The 15,881-nt window shown below is 38.0% G+C and overlaps 1 long non-coding RNA gene across 1 annotated transcript in view, besides 1 other annotated feature; it reads right to left on the bottom strand.

Moving 5' to 3' along the window:
• Nucleotides 1,957–2,157: a silencer, noted in NCBI's record as "peak974 fragment used in MPRA reporter construct". NCBI's record gives its function as "represses an SCP1 promoter by STARR-seq MPRAs in K562 erythroleukemia cells {active_cell/tissue: K562}" and the evidence as "EXISTENCE:reporter gene assay evidence [ECO:0000049][PMID:32103011]".
• LOC107984239 (uncharacterized) overlaps nucleotides 4,532–15,881 on the bottom strand; it is a 44,561-nt gene continuing 33,211 nt past the window's right edge. Inside the window, exon 3 of the long non-coding RNA XR_001747475.2 lies at nucleotides 4,532–4,673. This is a non-coding gene — a long non-coding RNA (uncharacterized LOC107984239). The remainder of the gene's footprint in view (nucleotides 4,674–15,881) is intronic.

Raw genomic sequence — 15,881 nt, 5'->3', positions numbered from 1 at the left:
TATAAATTAGGCTATAAATGTATAGTAAAAATAAATTGTCTTCATTTATTTCTTGTGTTTCAAAAAACTATAGTCAGGTTAGTCACAGTGGCTCACACCTGTAATCTTGGCACTTCGGAAGGCTAAGGCAGGAAAATCTTTTGAGCCCAAGAGTTTTAGACCAGCCTGGGCAAGTTAGGGAGACCTCATCTCTGAAAAAGAAAAAAAAAAGAAAATAGCCGGGCATTGTGGCATGTGCCTTTAGTTCCAACTACTCGTGAGACTGAGGTGGAAGGATCACTTGAGCCCAGGAGGTTAAGGTTGCAGTGAGCTATAATCACACCACTGCACTCCAGCTTGGTTGACAGAGTGAGACCCCGTCTCAAGAAACAAACAAACAAAAAAGTATAATCATGGGGTATCTTTCACAATTTAACTTCAAGTAATATGTTTGGTTCTTAAGTAAGTATACATCCATAGGGAATACCAGGTGTATTAGTCTGTTCTCACACTGCTAATAAAGACATACACAAGACTGGGTAATCTATAAAGAAAAGAGGTTTAATTGACTCACAGTTCCACATGGCTGGGGAGGCCTCATGATCATGGTGGAAGGCAAATGGGGAACAAAATCACGGTGGCAGGCAAGACAGCTTGTTCAGGGGAACTCCTATTTATAAAACCATTGGATCTCATGAGACTTATTCACTACCATGAGAACGGTATGGGGGAAACTGCCTCCATGATTCAATTATCTTCACCCAGCCCCGCCCTTGACATGTGGGGATTATTACAATTCAAGGTGAGATCTGGGTGGGGACATGCCCAAACCATCTCACCAGGAAAAGGAAAGCGTTTTATTAATTTGGTCTATATTAGCTAAAACTGAGCCTTGAGAATGAATAAGATTCTTAAGACTCAGAACTGTGTTGTATTAAAAGCATCATAATCTGCATAATCTTTTCTGATTTACTCTACTTAGTTAAATGGAATGCCACTAGAAATAAAAAAAAATCCTTTCACTCTCCAACCCCATCTTGACACTACTCCTGGGACTATCTTAAATTTAGAGCAAGTATTCTTGCCTCAACAGTATGCTAAGAAGTTTAATTAACAGAAAATTATATTTCACACCTATGTCAAGTATGAAATACATGCATAGAAAATAAGCATGGAAATCATGGGCAAACTTGCTTTACAGAACCCATCTGCCAGACATACTAAAATGGCATTATTTACCTTTTCTTGAGCAGGTAGCTAATTTCTGTGGGAATTTTTAGATGTTAAACCTCAGAAATTCTCAGAAATCCTGTTTTCTTTGCACTATGTACATGAAAAGAGTGAAAGCAAACAAAAACAAAAAATCTCTATTTGTAGTTTAGCACCTCTGGCCCCTCCTCTTTGGCTGAGAAGAGATCAGATGTCCAAATATCCTGCCCCTAGAGAGAGCACACAGATGGACCTCAGAAGGATGTTGAAGTCTGTGGGCTCCCCAGAAAGCTGAGATAGTTATATGTGAGCCCTTTTCAGGCAGGGATAGGAGAGCTTTCACCAAAACTAGTGAAATCACCTAAGCCAGAGACTTATGGATATCCATTCTAGGGAGACAACTCATCTTTTGGCCTGAAGTTATTAGATTATTTTTCTCCATTACTTTGCTGTTTTTGCTCTTGAGAAAAGGGGGTTTTTTCATCTTTCCTATGTTATCCTGAGAGTCAAATATGGTGAATAGTCGAATGGGGATAACATCTCACGAAGTCATTCTGAGGATCAGATAATTTCTGGGTGGATGGCAGGCCAGATACCTCTTTGTTGTTTGCATGTGTTTTTTCAGTTATAGAACTTTCAAAGATGAGATTGGAGTTTAGAGATATGTCCTTAAATCGTGGGACAATGACAATCCTACATGCATTCGACAAATATTTATTGAACACATTGGTAAACCAGATAACACAATCCCTGCATTCATGTAGCTTTCATTTTAGTGGTAGACAGAATGTACTACAAAGGAACAAATAAAATAACTGCAGATAGTGACAACAGCTAACATGACTAGATAAAGTTGTTCTTTTGAGTAGTCGGTCAGATAAAAAGCCTTTCAGAAGAAATGACGATTGAACTGAAACCTGGCTTATGAGAAAGTGCCAGCCAAGCAAAATCTGTGGGAAAAGCATTCAAAGCAAAAGAAAAAACAAGTGAAATACTCTTAGGGGAAAAAAAATGACCTTGGCGTGCTTTAGATGAATTCTACATAACTAGAATGTAGTAAAAATAGGGAGACTATAAGGTCAGAAAAATAGATAAATAGGGATTGGATCATGTATGAAGTATGTTACCCTTTGAAAAACATGCATTATATCTTTTAGTAATGATGATAATATTTGAAATACAAGTTGACCCATTGCAAAAGCCTGGTAATGATTTGTGAGAAGAGATACAGTATTAGGATAATGAATTCATATTGCTAAGCCACTGTAGACATAAAAAAGATTGCCTCTATGTGATAAAAACTTAAATAAATATCTAGGAAGAAAACAGGCCTTCAAAAAATCCTGTATCAGCTATATGGCTTGTCTATATTACTCTCAATATCGGCATTTTAGGGATCATCCCAATATTCCATTTATTTTTTTAAAATACATTTTTCCTTCAAGTAGTTTTAGATTTACGGAAAAATTGAGAAAATAGCGTACAGTTCCCATGTAGCCTATGCTCTGTTTCCTCCATTGTTAACATCTTATATTGGTATGGTATATTTATCACAATTAAGGAACTAATATTGATACATTATAATTAACTAAATCCATACTTAATTTAGATTTTCTTTTTTTTTTTTTTGAGACAAGAGTTTCACTCTGCTGCTCAGGCTGGAGTGCAATGGCATGGTCTCAGCTCACTGCAACCTCCACCTTCTGGGTTCAAGTGATTCTCCTGCCTCAGCCTCCCTAGTAGCTGGGATTACAGGTATGTACCACCAAGCCCAGCTAATTTTTGTATTTTTTAGTAGAGATGGGGGTTTCACCATGTTGGCCAGGCTGGTCTGGCCTGACGTCAGGTGATCCGCCCACCTTGGCCTCCCAAAGTGCTGGGATTACAGGCATGAGCCAGTGCACCTGGCCTAGATTTCTTAAATGCCTTTTGTTGTTGTTCCAGCGTAGCATGGTAGACTGAGTTGTCGTGTGCCTCTATGGTCCCTTGCTTATCACAGTGTCTCAGATTTTCCTTAATTTTGATGACCTTCACAATTTTGAGGAGCATTGGGCAGCTATTTTATAAAACGTCCTTTAATTTGGATTTGTCTGATGTTTTTCTTATGATTAGACTAAGAGTATGTAGTTTTAAGAATACCACAAAAGTAAAGTGACATTTTTATCACATCATACCAAGGAACATAGCATTAAGATGACTTATCACTGTCGATCACCTGGCTATGGTAGTTATTTTTAGGTGTTCAACTGTAACGTTACTCTTCTCTCTGCCCCCTTAGGAAACAGCTTCCTCATTGGAGTAGATTACTTACATGCGGTGTCTCTTGTCTTCAGTCTTACAAACTCTGCTCATTTCTAAAGTTATTTTGGTTGACATTTCCCTCCACCCCCACCCCTTCGGTGAGGTTATTTTATAAACTTATCATACAGTTATATCAAAGTTTGCATTCCATACTGGGATCCTCCCTAAATGATTTGTTTAAATTTGCATACACTAAGGTTCATTATTCTTGCTGCAATATTCTATAGGTTTTCACAAATGCAGTGTCATGGATCTACAACTTAACTATCATACAGAATAGTTTCACAACCCTAAAGGTTTCCCTATGTTTTATCTATTTAACCTTCTTCCCTCCTTCAACACCTGGAAATCACTTGTTATCCTTGCTATAGTTTCATCTTTCCAGAATATCATGTAATTGGAATCATGTGGCATATAGTCTGGCAAAATGTTTTCCTTGGAGTGTAGACCTGTCTTAGTCTGTTTGTGTTGCTATAAAGGAGTAGATTAGGCTGGGTAATTCATAAAGAAAAGTGGTCTACTTGGTGCATGGTTCTGAAGACTGTACAAAAAAGCATGGCACCAGCATTGCTTCTGGTCAGAGTTTCAGGGAGCTACCACTCATGGCAGAAGAGCCAGCTATGTAGAAAACATATGGTGAAAGAAGCAAGAAAGAGAGAAGGAAGAAGGTGCCAAGGTCTTTTTAACAACCAGCTCTCATGGGAACTAACAGAGTGAGAATTCACTCATATCTTCCCCCTCCACCAGGGAGGGGATTAATCTATTTATGGAGGATCTGCTCCCATGAGCCAAACATCTCCCATTAGGCCCCACCTCCAACATTGGGGATTAGGTTTCAACATAAGGTTTAGGGGACAAACATCCAAAATGCAGCAAGGAATTTGATATGGAGCCCTCCATGGGTAAATTTTACGGTGATTCTTCTTTTCCCATTGTCAGAGCCACAAGGGGGGTTGTCTCCTGGATCTTCACTATAAGAACTGGGTAGGACTATTGGGGGAGAACCCAAGATAGAGTGAGCTCCCACTAAGACTATGGCCCCATGCATTTCTCACTATCATGCCAGTGTACACTTACACTCTAAAAACTGGTCAAAGTGATCATGTAAGTGCTCCAACAGCTGATGGCCCCAGTGGCTTCTCTTCCAGATTTCAGAGTGGGAATTTGCTCGCAACTTCAGTTTTCTGTTGAGTACAATAAAAGTCATTGGTTTTTAGTTTGTTTAGATTTTCATATTGTAAGGATGGGCCTGGCAACTTCTAAGTTATTTCCATGTGGAAACTAAAACTATAAGTCCTTTATTTATTTTTCCTTAAATATGTTAATATCTTCTTACATTTTTCCTTTCTCAGGCACTGTGTTACTCGCACTAAACTTACTATCTTTCTGGGTGTTTTCATACAGTTAAGTACATTCTCAAGGAACCTCAACAAATTATACTGTCTCTTTGTCCTGTACTTTTTTTGTCTTTATTTTGTTCACATTTTTTCTTTTGTTTTTTCATAGTGGGTTCCCAATAAATTATTACCTGCATACATTACTAATTAATTAATAACAAATAGAGATATAAAATGAGAATAATAAATTCCGTTTTCAAATCTACAAGATTAAAAATGCCATGCTAACTTATTTTACATCAGTTTTATACTTGGGTTCTTTGTGACATAAGGAAGATAATAATAATTTTAAACAATAATAACCTATGCTATAAGCTAAAGAAAACCTACTAGAGATTATATGGTTATCATTAAGGTGACACCTTTTACATCAAAACATATTGTCATCATCACCAGCAGAAAATTTACAAAGGTCAATCTGGGAACTAAATGACTCATCTAGAGAGCAATTTTTCTTTATTTGCTTAACATAGACCCTTATCACTTAGTGACATTCATTTATGCAGTTGTAATAAGCTTAATAATAATCCTTGAATTAAAACTTTTATGCAAAATAATTTTATATTACATGTATTATAATTTTATATCCTTGAATTAATTTTTATTCCTTGAATTAAGATGTCATGCAAAATAAAATAATTTTATATGATATTTTATATTAATTGTAATTTTATATTTTTATGCAATAATAACATAACTCATTTCTAAGTGGATCTAAAGAAAAATCTCTTCCAAGAATTCAGCATTATGAGATATATCACCTGTTCCATTCATTTTAATGTTTTTCCTCCAATGTACGTATGGATCTTTTATTTTTCTCTGAATTGTGGCCAAAGCCAAAGAAATAATTCAAAATATAACATTGTTACCCAGACCCTACATTTATATTCTCTGTTATTTGGAGGTGATATGTTATGAAAAAATTCTACACATGACTTAAAAGTACATATTTTAACATCTGAGTCCTTCAAACTGACTTCAACCTTTATTGAACTTCAGACTTCTCCAAAAATACTCATGTTTTCTTTAAATCAACTGGTGACAGAAAGACACAAGGTCTCTCCCCATATCTAACAAGGAATAAATTACCTATAAAACCACCAAAGTAAGTAAGTAAAGTACTTTACTCAGGAAGACCCAGTTTCTCATAGTATCTAGGTGTTTTTAAAGAGGGTTTATGGAAGAGGCATTAACTCTTTCAGATCAGCCAAGGTCTGAATACATTGAAGCAATAACACAATTTTGACTTGAGAACAATATAAAGTAGTCATATAATGTAATGTAATATAATATAATGAAGTGTACTGAAAGGAATTTAAAGCCCTGGAAACTGGGTTCCAATCTGGTTCTCACATTAATTTATGTACACAAATTTGAATCTAATGAATGCTAAACTTACTAGCTTTATTCATCCCATATATTTACTGGGTTTTTCACCTCATCCCCAGTAATTAGGTTTAGCTGATAAGACATGTTATATAAAAGGCTGAATCCAATCTAAAAGAACAAGCCACTTTCTCATAAGTGTCATCTAGTAAGTTACTGTTTGGCATTGTGTTTCCTTGAATTTACATAAGCTATTATGAAAGAAGAGATAATTTTAATAACTTAGCTTTTTTTAAGATTCTTTCTTCAGTTATCTTACTATTTCCATGATGCTTCTTATGAGAAACCTCCAATTCTTTCCATTCCCTACACACTATTTTCTATGTGTAAGTTATTCATTGATGGAATGGCAATAATCTAACATACATTGATTCATGCTCCTCTGTTAATAGAGTTAAGGTGTTACAGTATTATTATTCTCAGAATCCCTGCCATTTTCTCCTTTTCCAGGAAAGCTGAGAACTGGATACCTTATTAAGCCCAATTCCAATAAATAAGTGCCTAAGCCTACCTTCTGAGAAAATAACTGCCTTCTGAGAAATGCATCTATAGACTCAAGTCTTTCTGTCTCCTTAAATGTGTCCCATAGAGAAAGGTGGAATGTCCCAGTGGATAAGTTAGGCAAGTGTTATCTGCTCTGTAAATGCAATCTTGCTTACAGGCAGATCCCAAGCTCCAGACTTGGGAGAGTACATAGAGCAGCATGGAAAGACTGCTTCTGGCTAGAATTCTAAGTTGCATTTTCCTATTCAGATTTAGCACGTTAACATTAATAAATGTATTCTCTCCCACATGACTTCCAAATCTATCTACTAAAACTTCAATATGGAAAAAAATGTATTGTGAATATGGAAATATACATTTTTCTTTTAAATTCCTTAAACAAGAGTTCATTGACATAAACTTGGAAAAGTTAATCATAGACACGTATTTATTATTTATATAGTTATTTTTTAATATGATGTACCAAAACATTAACTTGTGGTAAGATAACAAATTCACCTATATTATTTGGTTCTATGGATCATTTTGTGATATAAAAGCACACACACTTGTATACATGCACTATGGGAAACTACAAATAACTCAAGTAAAAGCTCTTTTGTATAAATGTCTTCAATGATTCTGTACCAAATTGGATTATTTCCTCTGTAGACATCGTGACTCAAGCAGTATACCTTTAATTATTTTTCTATTTGTGCTTAAACAAAAGCATTTGTTTTTATAGTCCACATTTAAAAAATATGGTTGAATATAAAAATATCGATCAAATTTGTTATTTTTAAAAAAGGTTCCCTTAACTAATCCTGATGGGAAATTCAGTGGAAGTAGATAATTTGAGCTAGATATAATACTAGAACAATTCCTCTCTGGGGACGTTTGATGAGACTCATTATAGAACCAATTACTATGTGCAGGTGAATTGTTAGACTGTGGAGATGCTGCATGGTCATATAACTATCTTCACTAAGTCCTGCTACTGCTATACTAGCATAGCCTTATTGCTGCCTGTGAAGACTGATCAACCTCAGCTCCAAGAACACACTTAACTTGATCTAACCTTAGCTTTTGTGGCTACACAGACTCTACAAGCAAGTTGATTTCATTGTTCCCCCTTTGCAATTAGTCTACTAGTCTCTATTTCTCTTTTACTGTTGCATTATTATTCTTTCCTTATAAACCCATTTTATCTGCTTCCCGATGCACTTAAGGGAACACCTCTTCCCACTCCCCTCTCCCCCGCCCCAGTTCTAGAGTTCATTGCTAAGCACTAATTTTTAATTGTTGGGAGAGAGGAGATGTTTGTCACAGTTTATTTGGGTATTTACTTTGGTTTGGTTGGAGAGCAGGAGGCAAGTGGGGGGAGTGGGGAGAAGGTGAATCTCAAGTAGTTCAAATAATACAAATATGGTCGTCACTTTTGTGGCAAATATCTGGGAATGCCTACACCAAAATCCTAATATGGAAAGTAAAATTTTATTTTAAAAATGCATTATCCATCTGCTTTTTGTAGTGTTTCTACTGTGATCACGTTACATTTGTTTCTTAACCTCTTTTATGAGCAAAGAATGGCAAAATTAAATCTAAGACTACCAATTTTATCAAGTTAGCTAGATTTCTTAAATAATAAAATACAAAGTTAATATTTCATAATGGAAATGAGCATGCTCATACACTGCTAACACAACTTAAAGAGTTACAATCTTCTTTCAGTGGCAATTTGGCAATCTGCATGTGAGTCCTTAAATCAGTGCATTAGCTTTTAGTAATTTCACTCAAGGGAAAAATTAAGAATGTGTACACAGACACAGAAAGAAAAATGCATATCACATGAGTTTATTATAAGAAATTATAGGAAATTATGCCTCATTCTATGAAACTTATTAAAAATACTTTTGATTGAGTTGTGTAACAAATTCTATGCAATCCTTTTTAAATGGTGATAGGGAAAACCCTTCAGTGACATGGAAAATTGTTCCGTGTTTATTTTTAAGTTAAGGAAAGGTAGATAAAATACTTTATGGTTTATCAACCGCAATATTTTTGTAATAGGTAGTCTTCAGCTTTTATGTGCTCAACATTCACACAGCCAAATTTTTGTATGTTATTTAACAATTGTATTTCTTGATCAGTCTTGCTAGTAGTTAACATTGTTCATTATTTAAAAAACCAAATTTGTCTCATTTTCTTTCTTTTTTACCTATTTCTACTCTTATTGTTTTTATTTCTGTTCTTCTATTTATTTAGTGGTTCATTTGCTCTCTTTTATCTACATTCATAAAGTGAAACATATATGCAAACCTGTTTTCCTTTGAAAGAAGTAGCATATCCATGTAAGGCAATAACTTTCTCTCTAAATAACACTCTAACTCCATCTTCCAGATATTCAGTTTTCATAATCATCATTTGGGGAAAATTTCTCTGTGACAAATAAAGTTCTTTAGAATTGTGTCATTTAATTTTCATATATTTGGGACTTTTTGATATCTTATTTTTATTAATTTCTTTAATATTATTTTTCTGATTTATAATTTAGTACTCTTACAGTGCATATTGTATAATATTTGAACAATTAGAAACTCAAGAAACATTTGATCAAACTTTGTGAACATTTCCTATGAATTTCAAAGAACAAATATTTTGTTATTGTGTGTCATATTCTATAAATAGCAATTTATTCAAGATGATTAATAGTATTGGTCACATTTTTATATTATTATGAGCCTTTTTTGGACTTGTTTTATCAATTAGTGAGAGATAATAAACTCTTATGCTTTTGCCTTTGGTTTCCTCAATTTTGCTTCATATATCTTGGGTCCTGTTATTACATGCAAACACATTTATAACTGTTAATTCTTCCTCATCATTTGACCTTTATATCTGTATGTAATGTCCCTATTTTGTTCTGGTGCACTTGTCTTAAATGAATCGTATACACATCCAAATTTTTCAGTGAATCCAAGCAAATTTAACAGCTTTTGTTGAGCAAAAGTGTCATCTGCCATAACAACTCCCACAATTCTAACACACAAACTGCAGACAAACTTCTTTCATGCTCCAATGTGTATGTTTATGCCTCAGGATTTGCTAACACTTCTGCAGTGGAAAACATTTGCTGTTGAAACAAATAGTTCCTTCATAAATCCCCAACTTGGCTGTGAAGATACTGACAATTTTGTTGATTTTACAAACAATCATCAGTCATGTCTCATCCAAGTAAAAATATGTTATTTGTCCATAGAAAGCTATGTTATATAAATAATAAATTTAAGGAAAAACATATCCCATTACATAATCATTATAATTGTACATTAATGTGTTTATTTTTTCATTACATATTTATTTTTTGTCTACTCTGCACAAGGTACTAGGGTTACAAAAACGAGTAAGAAGAGACAGTAAAGGGCATGGCTCTACCCCCAAATAAAGAGATGGAATATAAAAGCGAAGAATTGACTGGGTGTGGTGGCTCACCCCTGTATTCCGAGCACTTTGGGAAGCTGAGGTGGGCAGATCACTTGACGTCAGGAGTTCAAAACCAGCCTGGCCAACATGGTGAAACTCCATCTCTACTAAAAATACAAAAAAAAAAAAAAAAAAAAGCCAGACATGGTGGCAGACATCTGTAATCCCAGCTACTCAGGAGGCTGAGGCAAGAGAAGATCTTGAACCTGGTAGGTGGAGGTTTCAGTGAACCAAGATCATGCCACTGCAGTCCAGACTGGGTGACAGAGTGAGACTCTGTCTCAAAAAATAAAATAAATAAATGAAAATGAAAAATATATGTACATTTAGAATACATGATATAAGCCATACACGGTGGCTCATGCCTATAATCCCAGCACTTAGTGGGGCTATAGGGTATTTGGACAGAAATATTGAGACTTATTTAAATGACTTTTGCATAAAAGTTGAATGTAGATTAAAGAAAGTGCCTTTGAGGCAAAAATTTGCAAGAGAAAATGCATATGTTTAGAAATAAATGTGAAATGTTAAAGGGAAATTTGGTAGAAATTTGGCTAAAGTCAATTGTTCGTGTTAAGAGAAGAGTGATAACTAATGTTGGATATTTCATACATGCTACACTGAAGATTGTTTTTAATGTTGGGACATTGCTTCACTAAGAATTTTTGAGATGGAGGAAGCCAATGAAAAGACTGAAGTGGGTAGCTGACACCAATATGTTTAGTATGGACTAGATGAGAAAGAGAAGTGAGGTTGTCATAGCAACGAAGACACTACTGCAGTGGTCTAATTACATCATTGCATTCATTTTTCTAAGGATGATTTTTGTGTGTTTGTAAGAAGAGCATTTTTTATACTAGTTAATTGTTTTGAAAATGGACAAACTGTAGAAACAGTAGAACAGGCACTTCTGGTTACACCAACATGAAACATTACTGATACATTCTTTGCGGAGAATGTCTAAATGTAGCAAACTAATCTAAATAGAGATGTTTCAGATTAAAATGTTACATGATCTCCTTATTAATGTTACTTGAGTGCATATTTCAGCACTCTAGGAACTGATTTTATTATTAAAACTATCTTTTCTAAATCTTAATTTCTGGATCTCCAGTTTCAGAGTCACTTGTTGATAATTGTTGAAAATGTAGATTCCTGACTCTCACTTCATGCTTACTAAATCAGAATTACTGGAGGTGGGACCAGGAATTTGCATTTATTTAATGAAAAAGATAAGTGTTTCTTAAGCACATGAGGGTGAATTCAAACTCAGCTTTGTTTTTTTTCTTTTTCCCCCCGTGAATACTGTAAGATATTTCTGTGCTTTATGTTAGTGCTACCCCTTGAGTAGTTGTGAGTGTGTTTACATATACATGTGCTATGATTTAAGCAATTGATTTAAGCACTTAGGCACTGAAGTTTATGAACAGACATGCTTAACACTGCAGGAAAGAAATTTACAACCAATAACTTCTGTTCACAATGAAAGAAAAACTACTAAAGAAATGGAACTACTTTGTAGTGTTGATGATTTCTTATCTGAATCACACTGTTAATATCCTACATGTGATGTTACATAACACTAAATGACATTAATGTTGCAGAGGTCTAGAAACTAGTTTATTTTGATTGCCTTTGTGGGTTCATAGTGAAGCAGGATATTTCCCTGTCCCCCTTCATGGGTGGAAACAGGAGTGCATGAGCGCTGGAGTCAGCTGGCTGCTCTGGCACCAACAGGGACAAACTCCACTCACTGGAACTGGCTGTGTTCCACCTCTTGCAGGTGAGGAGCCCCTTTGTTCCACCCCTTGCTGGGGGAGCATGCAGTGAGTGAGTGCAGGAGCTGAGGCAAGTGCTTTTGGGTGCCAATGGAAGCAATTTCCATACTGGCCCTGCAGTAGCATCTGGGGGTGGACGCCCACAATCCCTGAAGCCCCAGAGAATGTTACAATGTTCTTTCAGCTCAGCCATCTGCAGATGGCTTAAGTATTAACAGCTCAGTGGGCCCTCTGCCTTTCCATGTGACGCAGCTGCTTTCTGCCAGTGAAGGCAAAGAGTCAGTGTGATGGCCTTTTGCATCTGCATTCGTGGCACCTGAGCTCTTGTCTGGTGTCCAGGAGAAATGAGGTCACACAAACAAATTGGAGGATGGTAAATGCAGGAGATTTTATTGGCAATGGAAGTGGTTCTCAGTGGGAAAGGGAGCTGAAAAGAGGATGGGGTGGGAAGGTAATCTTCCCCTGGAGTCCAGCCATCTCCAGCCAAATTATTCTCTGAAATTATGCTGTCAAGCTGTCCCTCTGAAGTCAAGCCACTTCTCTCTGATATCCAGCTGTAGTCTCTGACATCTAGCTACTTCTCCTCTCTCTGCCAGCTGAGCCTAGGGTTTTTATGAGCACATGATGGGGGGCAGGGTGGGCCATGGATAGTTTTGGAAAAGGCAACATTTGAGTGGGAAAACAGGAATGTTAAGTGCTCACTTTGGGCCACAGTAGCAGGCTTTTCAGCTTGAGGGTGGGGCCCTTGCAGGGGAACCTCCTTTTTCTGCCCATAATTTCCCTACCTCCTGTCCTTATCAATAGAGCAATACTGAGAGGTGAAGCCAGCTGGGCTTCTGGGTCAGGTGGGGATTTGGAGAACCTTTCTGTCTAGCTAAAGGATTGTAAATGCACCAATCAGCGGTCTGTGTCTAGCTAAAGATTTGCAAATGCTCCAATCAGCACTCTGTAAAAACACACCAATCGGCACTCTGTGTCTAGCTAAAGGCTTGTAAACTCACCAATCAGCACTCTGTAAAAACACACCAATTGGCACTCTGTGTCTAGCTAAAGGTTTGAAACTCACCAATCAGCACTCTGTAAAAATACACCAATCGGCACTCTGTGTCTAGCTAAAGGTTTGTAAACTCACCAATCAGCACTCTGTAAAAATGCACCAATCAGCACTCTGTGTCTAGCTAAAGGTTTGTAAACACACCAATCAGCACTCTGTAAAATGGACCAGTCAGCAGGATGTAGGCGAGGCCAAATAAGGGAATAAAAGCTGGCTACCCGAGCCAGCAGTGGCAGCACTCTTGGGTCCCCTTCCATACTGTGGAAGCTTTGTTCTTTCACTCTTCGCAATAAATCTTGCTGCTGCTCACTCTTTGGGTCTGCACTACCTTTATGAGCTGTAACACTCACCGCAAAGATCTGCAGCTTCACTCCTGAAGTCAGCAAGACCACAAACCCACCAGGAGGAAAAAAAACTCCGGATGTGCCACCTTGAAGAGCTGTAACACTCACTGTGAAGGTCTGCGGCTTCACTCCTGAAGTCAGAGAGACCACGTACCCACCAGGAAGAATGAACGACTCCAGATGCACCACCTTTAAGAGCTGTAACACTCACTGCAAAGGTCTGTGGCTTTACTCCTAAAGTCAGCAAGACCACGAACCCACCAGAAGGAAGAAACTCTGGACACATCTGAACATCTGAAAGAATAAACTCCAGACACACCATCTTTAAGAACTGTAACACTCACTGCGAGGGTCCACGGGTTAATTCTTGAAGTCAGTGAGACCAAGAACCCACCGGAAGGAACCAATTCTGGACACATTTTGGTGACCATGAAGAGACTGTCACCAAGTGGTGAGTACCGTCGGACCCCTTTTGCTTTCTATTCTGTCCTATTTTTCCTTAGAATTCAGGGGCTAAATACCAGGCACCTGTCGGCCACTTAAAAGCGACTAGCGTGGACACCGGACTAAAGACACGGGTGTCAGGCTTTCTGGGAAAGGGCTCTCTAACAACCCCCAACTCTTCGGAGTTGGGAGCATTGGTTTGCCTGGAACCAACTTCCACTTTTCCTGTACTTCCGGGCTGAACTGAGGGTCAACAGAGAGGAAAGCCATTCAGCTCTGGGATCCCAACAACAAGTTGGTTGACCCTGCAGCCATGAACGGAACTTTCAAAGTCATGTCACCCAAGCAAGACTCGCCCATCTATCCTATCTATCCTGACCCTTGCCTCCTGGGTCCTAACGCCTGTCAGACAAACTTCCTCCCACCTCCCTTCTCTGAGGCTAGTACTGCTTCTAAAAACCACTCCCTGTCTCTGGTGCTTTTCTAGTTTCTCCTATAAGAATGATTTATAGTATAAACTTCAGGATTCTGTTAACTTCTTTGGGCACCCAGGCTCACCAATCAGAAAGACTTAATTTTTGCGCAAAGCCCCATTGGAGGGGGGCCTATCTGGAATTTTAGGATCCCTCCTCAGACTAGCAGGCCTAAAAAAAGTTATTCCTGAAGCTAGGATATGGGGAGCTTCAGAAATGATATCCTTCCTATTCAAGTGAGGACAAAAGGCATCACTCTTCCCACTCTGGAGTTCCCTTCCCTCCCTCAGGGTATGGCTCTCCACTTCACTTTTGGGGCATAACATCTTTATAGGACATGGGTAAAGTCCCAATACAAACAGGAGAATGCTTAGGACTCTAATAGGTTTTCAAGAATTCATCAGTAGGGCCACTAAATATGATTTTTCTCGATCCTCCTTGTGGTCTAGGAGGACAGGCAAGGGTACAGGTTTTTGAGAATGCATTGGTAAGGGCCACTACATCTGACATTCCTCGGTCCTCCTTGTGGTCTAGGAGGAAAACTAGTGTTTCTGCTGCTGCGTCGGTGAGCACAACTATTCCAATCAGCAGGGTCCAGGGACTGTTGCAGGTTCTTGAGCAAGAGGTGTTTCTGCTGCTGAGTCAGTGAGCGCAACTATTCCAATCAGCAGGGTCCAAGGACCGTTGCAGGTTCTTGGGTGTGGGAGAAACAGACCAAAACCATGGGCATTTTTGTCTTTCAGAAGGGAAACACTCAGGCACCAAAAGGCTCACACTTGAAATGCATCCTAAGCCATTGGGACCAATTTGACCTGCAAACCCTAAAAAAGAGGTGGCTCATTTTTTTCTGCACTATGGCCTGGCCCCAATATTCTCCCTCTGATGGGAAAAAATGGCCACCTGAGGGAAGTATAAATTAGAATACTATCCTGCAGCTTGACCTTTTCTGTAAGAGAGAAGGCAAATGGAGTGAAATACCTTATGTCCAAGCTTTCTTTTCATTGAAGGAGAATACATAACTATGCAAAGCTTGCAATTTACATACCACAGGAGGACCTCTCAGCTTACCCCAATATCCTAGCCTCCCTATAGCTCCCCTTCCTATTAGTGATAAGCCTCCTCTAATCTCCCCTGCCCAGAAGGAAACAAGCAAAGAAATCTCCAAAGGACCACAAAAACCCCTGGACTATCAGTTATGTCCCCTTCAAGCTGTAGGGGGAGGGGAATTTGGCCCAACCCGGGTACATGTCCCCTTCTCACTCTCTGATTTAAAGCAGATCAAGGCAGACCTGGGGAAGTTTTCAGATGATCCTGATATGTACATAGATGTCCTACAGGGGCTAGGGCAAACCTTCAATCTCACTTGGAGAAATGTCATGCTATTGTTAGATCAAACCCTTGCCTTTAATGAAAAGAATGTGGCTTTAGCTGCAGCCCAAGAGTTTGAAGATACCTGGTATCTTAGTCAAGTAAATGATAGAATGACAGCCAAAGAAAGGGACACATTCCTACCACTCAGCAAGCCGTCCTCAATATGGATCCCCACTGGG

This window comes from Homo sapiens, chromosome 10 (genome assembly GCF_000001405.40).
Source record: "Homo sapiens chromosome 10, GRCh38.p14 Primary Assembly".
Taxonomy (NCBI): Eukaryota; Metazoa; Chordata; class Mammalia; order Primates; family Hominidae; genus Homo; species Homo sapiens.
Note: the sequence above shows the minus strand (reverse complement) of the source record. Positions and strands in the feature narration are given on the sequence as shown.